General features: G+C 39.4%; 1 protein-coding gene across 6 annotated transcripts in view, besides 1 other annotated feature; it reads left to right on the plus strand.

Annotated features, from left to right (window-relative positions):
• The window catches only part of LGI1 (leucine rich glioma inactivated 1), a 40,224-nt gene extending 31,340 nt beyond the window's left edge, over window positions 1–8,884 (plus strand). For 2 of the 6 annotated variants that reach the window (NM_005097.4, NM_001308276.2), the window contains 4 exons: window positions 824–895; window positions 3,468–3,637; window positions 3,911–4,075; window positions 7,693–8,884. In NM_005097.4, the coding sequence (NP_005088.1) occupies window positions 824–895; window positions 3,468–3,637; window positions 3,911–4,075; window positions 7,693–8,528 (1,243 nt within the window). In that variant the 3' untranslated portion in view covers window positions 8,529–8,884. Of the gene's footprint in view, window positions 1–823; window positions 959–3,467; window positions 3,638–3,910; window positions 4,076–4,618 lie in introns of all 6 variants that reach the window. The other 4 variants (NM_001308275.2, XM_017016912.3, NR_131777.2 and 1 more) reach the window with 3 other exon arrangements.
• Window positions 1,050–1,608: an enhancer, noted in NCBI's record as "OCT4-NANOG hESC enhancer chr10:95550082-95550640 (GRCh37/hg19 assembly coordinates)". NCBI's record gives its function as "activates a minimal SCP1, AML or CMV promoter by ChIP-STARR-seq in primed H9 embryonic stem cells {active_cell/tissue: H9 hESC(primed)}" and the evidence as "EXISTENCE:reporter gene assay evidence [ECO:0000049][PMID:30033119]".

A 9,715-nucleotide genomic window follows, 5' to 3' on the forward strand; every position in this document is an offset into this window, starting at 1 on the left:
AATGGTGCTAGAAAGGAAAAGGAGGCGTGGGCTTTAGAAAGGAGAAAGGATGTACTGGGGAAGAGATAGAGCTACTGGCACTGTGGGTTGGAGGTTTGGTTGCTCTCCGGAGCAAGCGAGGAGGAAGCAGGCAGAAGGGGCAGCCCAGGCAAGAGGAGGGGGCGCATTTTGGAGATGGACACTCACCAGTTTGGTTAGTCATCATTTGGGAGATATCCCCTAGATTGAGCGTCTGAGAGTGTGAATCTCTCGTGTTCTGTTCTAAATGGAAAGATCAATGCCCAGGAATCATTGTTGTTTTTAACCAACATAAAGTGTTGTTTAAATATTGAGTGCACCTGTAATCCCAGCACTTTGGGAGGCCGAGGCGGGTGGATCACTGAAGCTCAGGAGTTCAAGACCAGCCTGGCCAACATGGTGAAACCCTGTCTCTACTAAAAATACAACAATTAGCCGGGTATGGTGGCGGGCACATGTAATCCCAGCTACGGCAGGCTAAGGCAGGAAAATCACTTGAACCCGGGAGGCAGAGGTTTCAGTGAGCTGAGGTCACACCACTTCACTCCAGCCTGGGTGACAGAGCGAGACTTTTGTCTCAAGAAATAAAAGTAAATAAATATGGAGTGGGTGTTGAAGTGAACAGGTTAGGAACTGAAAGGACAATAGCAGGAATCTGAGTAGTAGTTCAGAAGAAAAAAAAAGGACCACAAGTCTTTTAGTAGGCTGGAAATGACAAAAGAGACTCATCACTAAGCTTTATCATTAAATGCCTTTGTTTAATTTATCACTACAGTTTACATCACCTTTTTTTTTTTTTTTCCAGGAGCCTTGCAAACAACAATCTCCAGACACTCCCAAAAGATATTTTCAAAGGCCTGGATTCTTTAACAAATGTGTAAGAGGACCTAAGAAATCACTGAACAATTAATTAATTTGCAGTCATTAACAAGGAAGCCTGGTATTGATTATTATAATTTTTAATTGGCTTTTAAATTAAAATTAGGATTTTTAAATCTAAATTTTAACTGGCCAAAAATTTAAATTTACATGGACTAACATTTGAGTCTTCTATGGTATTTATCATTGGGAATTCTGAATACATGGCACCCAGGCATTCCTTTGACAAAGTGTGTGTCAATACGGCAGGGAGCGATGATAAAGGACTTTGACGGGGTGGGAAGAGACCCGGCTAGAAATTTCAAAATCCCTTTTTTCTCATGAGGTCCAGGAAATAGGGCTACAAAGGAAAAACATAAAGGAGTCTGGGAAACTGACAGAATAAAGATGAAAGGTTACATCCTTGGGTTGGTCAATCAACAGAGAAATGGAACAGGAAGTGGGGGAAGGGAGAAAAGTTTGCCTTTTTTCTCATTAGACTGAACAACAACTCTAAGCTTAATCCCCAGGAATTTGGCTTAAGCCCCAGGAAGGGAATGAACTTAATTATTTTTGACCCTTTTTCAAACAAAAGAGCTTTCAAACTTTGACTTTTAAGCCTCCGAGTGAAAGATCTTTGCAAGGAATTTGTATATTTTGCTGTAAGCAAAGCAAGTAATATATGCCTAAACTTCTCAAAAGCAATTCAGCTTCATTATTTGCCTTCCAGAACATTAGAAAGGTATTTAAATGTCATAAGGTGGAAGACAGGAACAAATGAAAGGATATATGAAAACAAAAGCTTTTTTAAAAAATTATTCAGGTACTTGTCTGTAGAATATATATTCAAAACAACTTTTCTCCAATAACAAACAAAAAGAAAATCTGAGTCAAGTACTTTCTTCCAAGCCCAGTATTTAACTTCAAATCAGTAGCCTAATGAAAAACTTTCTTTGTTCCTTGCAGTATTTCCCCAGCCCCTCCTCCATGTCTATTACCTCAATTCCTGAATGATATGGTTTAATTCCAGGAGAATGCCCAAATCAGGATTCTTCCAAGAGAGTCCTGGACAGACCATAGTTATCCTCTCTGGTTTACAGTAGCCTGAAAGGTTGCCACTCATTAGTGTGGGTCAGAGTTCTCTTGGGAGACTAGGTCAGTTCTGGGAGTGTCTTGGAAGTTAGAACACACTCCATGGGTGACGTGGGATGTAGCTCATTGGGGGTCCTTTACCCCATTTTTGTGTCAGTCTATACCCTACACTAGTGAAAGACAAAACAAAAAAATATTGAAATTGGCTCAGTCTCTCATGGGAATCCCAAGATGGGTTTAGCCTTTTGGACCTACTCTAATATGCCCAAATCAAGAATTATCTTAGAAGTACAAGGATCCATGCCAACTTGCCTTTTAGTGGATTTCTTGGCTTTCTTGAAAGTATCCTCTAAAAAACATTTTTAAATGTTTGGGCGTTTAAAAATTATTTATGTGTGGTGTGAAGAGTAGGCAGCACCTATCTTAAGAATTCTGTGTGACCAGGAAAGGAGGTGGAATTCCTGAACAGAAGCAATGCAAATACACAGAGAACTTGGTGAGTTGGGGTCATATGTGGATATGTAAATGGTCTATGCTGTATAACTTATTACAGGCATGAGCGATTGTATGCCTGTGTTAACTCTGCTGTGTCAAAGTCATTTCCTATTTAAACTGAATTTGTAGACCACGGAAGAGGATCAGGATTAATTATGTCTGTGAGGAAGAAGAAAAGCAAATAGCTCACTTGATTAAATACATTACAATAATCACTACATTCTGTCCTTTAGACCTGTGCTGTCCAATAGGGTAGCCACCAGACCTTATGGTCACTGAGCACCTAAAATGTGCTCCTAGTACAACTGAGAGACTGAATTTTAAATTTTACTTAATTTTTTAACAGTTAAATTTAAATTTAAAAGCTGATTCTCAGCTCAATTATTGGAAAATGTTAAGTACGCTTGGAATAATTTGGGTATATACACCTATTTTTTTCAATTATGAATTTTATGACATCTAAATATAGATCACCTATTTCTGGTAAAATTTAGCATCTGAATTGAGATATATTGTAGGTATAAAATACACACTGGACTTCAAAGACTTAGTATAAAAAAGGAATGTAAAATATCTCAATAATGTTTATATTGATGATGTGTCAAAATGATAATCTTTTGTATGTATTGGGTTAAATAAAACATATTATTAAAATGAATTATACCTGCTTCTTTTTACTTTTTTAATGTGGCTATAGAAAATTTTAAATTACAATTACGGTTCATATACTGTTTCTATTGACAGCACAGCCCTAGACTAAGCCGCTTTGGAATTCAAGAGGGAGTAAGTGATGAGGTTCCATTGACTGGGTAGTCTTCAAGTGTGCATGGTGCTAACTCTCTGAGCCCAAAGTGAATGAGTGGTCAGTCAGGTTCCAGGCAGGTTATAGGGCAGGATGCAACGCCGGGTAAGGTCATTCTGCACATGTTAATTGTTGATGTAGAACTCTTTCCTGCGTGGGTAGGGCCCTTGTACAGCAAAAGCAGCTGAAGTTTGTCTTTCAGGGACCTGAGGGGTAATTCATTTAATTGTGACTGTAAACTGAAATGGCTAGTGGAATGGCTTGGCCACACCAATGCAACTGTTGAAGACATCTACTGCGAAGGCCCCCCAGAATACAAGAAGCGCAAAATCAATAGTCTCTCCTCGAAGGATTTTGATTGCATCATTACAGGTAATGTACTCATCATCATTCCACCTCAAAAAATTAAAATAAGGGCTACCTTTTTTTTTCATGTGCAGGAACTGATATTTTTTATATCTTAAAAACTAGCTGAGCAACTTAATTTTAAAAAAATTATGAACCATTGACAATGCTTCATGTGTTTAAAAGTAAAATGGCCATTTTACTATTCTCTGAAATAAATGTATTTCTTGTGAATATTTAAGATCTAGCCAAGGAAAGAGGTATTAGCTCACAGTTACTTATTATTTCCTATTTTTGCAGAATTTGCAAAGTCTCAAGACCTGCCTTATCAATCATTGTCCATAGACACTTTTTCTTATTTGAATGATGAGTATGTAGTCATCGCTCAGCCTTTTACTGGAAAATGCATTTTCCTTGAATGGGACCATGTGGAAAAGACCTTCCGGAATTATGACAACATTACAGGTATGAAAAGCCTAATGATATTTTGAGTGGTAATTTAAACTGCTTCAGCCAAGGGCAACAAGGAAAGATGAGTGGTATAGGGGAATGCTTTAGCATTTGAATTCCAACTCTACCATTTGTTAAGTGACCTGGGATTGTTCTCTAAGCCATAATTTCCCCACTTGTAAAACGGGAATAATATTAATACTTAACTCACAAGGTTGTTAATAAGATCATGTGAACACATATTCAAGAAACTTAGCATAGGGTCTAGTATAATACATAAACAGTAAATATTTGATTATTTTTCTTCAAATAAAAGTATTGGATGGTGAATCATGAGTTCTAGTCCAGGTTCTGCCACAGTCTATTTGGGCAAGCTGCTCATACTCACTGACACCCCTCAACCCCTTTTTCTTAACTATAAAATAAGAAGGTTATTTTAGATCAATAAGTCTCAAATTTGTTACACAAACGTGTCTTCTACAAAATGTTAATGTATGCCTTGTAATGAAAAGGATTTTGTGGTCCAATAAATTCATGAACCATATCTTGGTCTTGTAGGTTCATAATACAGACATCTGTGGATCTGAGAAGTCCTGCAGTGAGGAAATTTTTCCAATATTTTTCACCCTTAATTTGGCCATGGAATTTAATTCTTTCTTTTCTTTTCTTTTTTCTTTTTTTTTCTTTTTTTTTTTTTTTTTGAGACAGAGTCTCGCTCTGTCACCCAGGCTGGAGTGCAGTGGCACAATCTCAGCTCACTGCAACCTCCAACTCCCGGGTTCAAGCAATTCTTCTGCCTCAGCCTCCCAAGCAGCTGGGACTACAGGTGCGTGCCACCATGTCCAGCTAATTTTTGTATTTTTAGTACAGACAGGGTTTCACCATATTGGCAAAGCTGGTATTGAACTCCTGACCTCATGATCCGCCCACCTTGGCCTCTCAAAGTGCTGCCATTACAAGCGTGAGCCACCGCACCCGGCCGGAATCTAATTCTTTCTATGAAAACTTTTACTTATCTGGATCTCTCTTTTTTTTTTTTTTTTTTTGAGATGGAGTCTTGCTCTGTTACCCAGGCTGGAGTGCAGTGGCGTGATCTGGGGTCAATGCAACCTCAGCCTCCTGGGTTCAAGCGATTCTTGTCCTTCAGCCTCCCAAGTAGCTGGGACTACAGGCATGTGCCACCACGCCCTAATAATTTTTTGTATTTTTAGTAGAGATGGGGTTTCACCAAGTTGGTCAGGCTGGTTTCGAATTCCTGGCCTCAAGTGATCCACCCGCCTTGGCCTCCCAAAGTTCTGGGATTACAAGAGTAAACCACCTTGCCTGGGCTTACTTAGCTGATCTCTTAAGTTTCTTTCCCATTTTAATAATTTTTAAAATTATAAGTCATAAGTTAGAACATAGGGCTCCCTCTACAATTTTTAATATCAGTTTTAGCTTCTAATACCTTTAAATCTGCTCTCAAGAGCACTCACACCTCCCCATAAAAGGTAACCCTTTAGACAAGGCATGGAGGGTCATGATAGATTTTGCTGGTAGCCATCACCCTCATTGCTCAAAGGACCAAGACAGGTCTGGGGCTTGCTTGAGGCTGGGGTTGCTTAAATAAAGGGATCCCTTCCAAACTGAGACCCTTTTGGAATCCTCCTTTCTTTTAGAATCCTCCTCTCTGAAGGAAGAAGGTCATGCTTCCTTAGGCCCCCATAAGTTTTCCAGTGGACTATAGCAGGGTTTTGTGCGGTCGAAACCAGGCTTTTCTTACTTGTGTATGGTTCATCAATTTCTTTGAATGACTCTTTAGATGAGCACTTACAAGAGAAATAAATCATACATCTGCAAACTTTCTGAGGGCATCTCAGAGCTCATCTTGTCTAGGATGATGTCTTAGTCCCTTCCTGCTGCTGTAACAAAAAATACCTTGACTGCGTAATTTATAAGAACAGAAATTTATTTCTCATAGTTCTGGAGGCTGGGAACTCCATGATCAAGGCACCAGGAGATTTAGGGTCTGGTGAGGGCTCACTCTCTGCTTCAAAGACGGTGCCTTCTCTGTGTCCTAACATGGCAGAAGGGCAAAAAAAGATCTAACAGACTCGCTCAAGCCCTTTTGCAAGGGCACAAATTCCATTCATGAGTGTGGAGTCCTCATGATCTAATCACCTCCTAGACACCCCACTTCTTAATACTATTACACTGGGGATTAAGCTACAACATAAATTTTGGAGGGACAGAAACATTCCAACCATAGCAGATGACAAATATATGCCCCATACTCAGTCATTATCCCTTCCTTCACTCTAGACAGGCACCACTAATCTATCATGGGAATCTTTCATGTAGAGTGCAGACACGGCCACAGAATCCTTCTCAACACAGTTCCCCAGACAATCACACGCAATGAGCCAATCAGTATTGGTACATGTGTTGGAATCTGGTGGCCATCCTTAATCTAGTCTAAAGTCTCATTGTACAGAAAAGAAAACTGAGCCTCAGAGAAGTTAAATGATTTTCTTAAGATCATACAATCAGTTTAGCCCTGAAAAGAGTCAGAAATAAAACTATTTTGCCTATGGATGAAGCCAATTAGTAGAAAGAATTAATGTAGAACTTTCTGCCCCGCACTAGCGCTGTAGTCAGAAGAGGCCTAAAGCCCAGATTTGTTCAGCTGTCTCTGGATTTTCTAGAGCCAAACTCCTGCAAGATCAGAATCTACTGATAAATGTCAAACTCTTCCCCAAAGGATACCAAGCTAGGCCACTGACAGATCCCACATCATTTTCTGTGATTTTCCAAAATAACTTTCAGGAGCAGTGCCCATGGCTGCACCCTTCTTTCGATTTTTTTAAAGATTCCTTTTCCTTCTCTTCACTCCTGCCACCAGTGACCTAAAGCTCCAGAAAAGTGACAAGTGGCATCTCCTTTCTTTGCAGGGGAAAGGCAAATTATTCTAGAGCAGGAAGCAGTTCAGACTTAGAGCAAAACAATTACAGTAGAGCCATGGGCTACCCAGACCACAACGCTAGCCTTTGGTTATCTAAGATCTTAGATAAACCAAATTTGAAGTCCTGGAATAGCTAACTTGTCCCCAGCTTGGGTTAAAAGCATAGAGATGCTGGTAGGCCTGGCTTTGAATCCCCAACTCTGCCTTCTGCTACCAGAACAGCCTCTCTGAGCTTCAGTTTACTCATGTGGAAAAAGGATAATATTTATCTCTTAAGATTGTTGGGAAAATTAATGAGGTAAATTGAGAAAGCACATAATAGATGCTCAGTAAACAGTAGTTTTCATTAGAATTATGATTAACTCATTTGTGTCAGGGAAACTAATGCTTTCTTTCTGCAAGAAGTAAGAGGAGAACACTCGGGCCATAGCTGTGTGTCCTGAACGTCTAGCGCAGGCTAGATATGACATTAACAACTCAATTGTTGGCAACAAGGCCCCACGAGGCACAAAGGCACGGAACTTTAGGACACTGCTGCCATTGGGCTTTGGAGACCAGCCTTGCCTAATCAACCAAGGAGATCTCTTGTTTCAGGCTGATTTGGGTGGAAGTTGTATGGCCCCAGCCCGCATGTTTACATGCTCCAAAAGAGGATGGCCACACAACTAATCTCTCCTTTGTCTTTTCCCAGGCACATCCACTGTAGTATGCAAGCCTATAGTCATTGAAACTCAGCTCTATGTTATTGTGGCCCAGCTGTTTGGTGGCTCTCACATCTATAAGCGAGACAGTTTTGCAAATAAATTCATAAAAATCCAGGATATTGAAATTCTCAAAATCCGAAAACCCAATGACATTGAAACATTCAAGATTGAAAACAACTGGTACTTTGTTGTTGCTGACAGTTCAAAAGCTGGTTTTACTACCATTTACAAATGGAACGGAAACGGATTCTACTCCCATCAATCCTTACACGCGTGGTACAGGGACACTGATGTGGAATATCTAGAAATAGTCAGAACACCTCAGACACTCAGAACGCCTCATTTAATTCTGTCTAGTAGTTCCCAGCGTCCTGTAATTTATCAGTGGAACAAAGCAACACAATTATTCACTAACCAAACTGACATTCCTAACATGGAGGATGTGTACGCAGTGAAGCACTTCTCAGTGAAAGGGGACGTGTACATTTGCTTGACAAGATTCATTGGTGATTCCAAAGTCATGAAATGGGGAGGCTCCTCGTTCCAGGATATTCAGAGGATGCCATCGCGAGGATCCATGGTGTTCCAGCCTCTTCAAATAAATAATTACCAATATGCAATTCTTGGAAGTGATTACTCCTTTACTCAAGTGTATAACTGGGATGCAGAGAAAGCCAAATTTGTGAAATTTCAGGAATTAAATGTTCAGGCACCAAGATCATTCACACATGTGTCCATTAATAAGCGTAATTTTCTTTTTGCTTCCAGTTTTAAGGGAAATACACAGATTTACAAACATGTCATAGTTGACTTAAGCGCATGAGACACCAAATTCTGTGGCTGCCATCAGAAATTTTCTACAGTACATGACCCGGATGAACTCAATGCATGATGACTCTTCTTATCACACTTGCAAATGAATGCCTTTCAAACATTGAGACTGCTAGAACCAAGCACTACCAGTATCTCCATCCTTAACTGTCCAGTCCAGTGATGTGGGAAGTTACCTTTTATAAGACAAAATTTAATTGTGTAACTGTTCTTTGCAGTGAAGATGTGTAAATAAGCGTTTAATGGTATCTGTTACTCCAAAAAGAAATATTAATATGTACTTTTCCATTTATTTATTCATGTGTACAGAAACAACTGCCAAATAAAATGTTTACATTTTCTTTCATATCCCAGAGGTAATTATTTACAGGAGCTGTTTCATTCTTGTTGTTGGTATGTTGAAGAAATAGTTTTATATAATAGTATTGTATTTGGATCAAGGATTTACGATGTGAAGAATGAGTGAAGATAAAATTATGGGTAATATGATATTGATTACCCATTGATTATGACCAGGTTTATCTGTGGCTGGATCAGCTGATTTTGAACATTCAAAGGTATTTCCAAAGGTCATGGCCTTTAGGGATAATTTGAGGTGAAATGGTGACAAATTAAAAGAAAGGTAGAGAAATTTGCCTACTACAAGAAGACTGATTTGAAATTAAGGACAGCAAGACCCATCCTTTCCTGACTGATAAGCCCAGCTAAAATCATCACTCAGACAATTTCTAGGAGAAAGTAAAATCAAGAATTAGGATCTCAATACCCTATTTAGGGTCTTTCTAAACATCTGACAGCTGATAGAGATTGTAACCTTACAGTGCTTGCCTCAAATGTACCTGTCATGAAGGCCTCTTAATCTGACCAAGGATGCTTCACTTCTAGATACCAATTTTGATTTGTTATTTACCTGCTGCAGAATGCCCAAAAGGCTCATATTTGATTTTCTAAATTTCTGCTTCTAGATCACATGGGTCATTAGCACAATGCCGGTGATAGAGTAGGCTCTCAAAAAATGCTTTTAAAGAAGCACGTGTCCTCCTGTTATAATATAATAAACTTTCTGAGGCCTTTTGACCTAATTATTGCCTACCTACTAAGAATGGGGTATTGTATAGCAGGGGTGGGGGACTGAGGCAGAATAGGGCATGAACCTTGCCCTCTGAGGCCTTAGAAGAC

Source organism: Homo sapiens, chromosome 10 (assembly GCF_000001405.40).
Source record: "Homo sapiens chromosome 10, GRCh38.p14 Primary Assembly".
Lineage (NCBI taxonomy): Eukaryota > Metazoa > Chordata > Mammalia > Primates > Hominidae > Homo > Homo sapiens.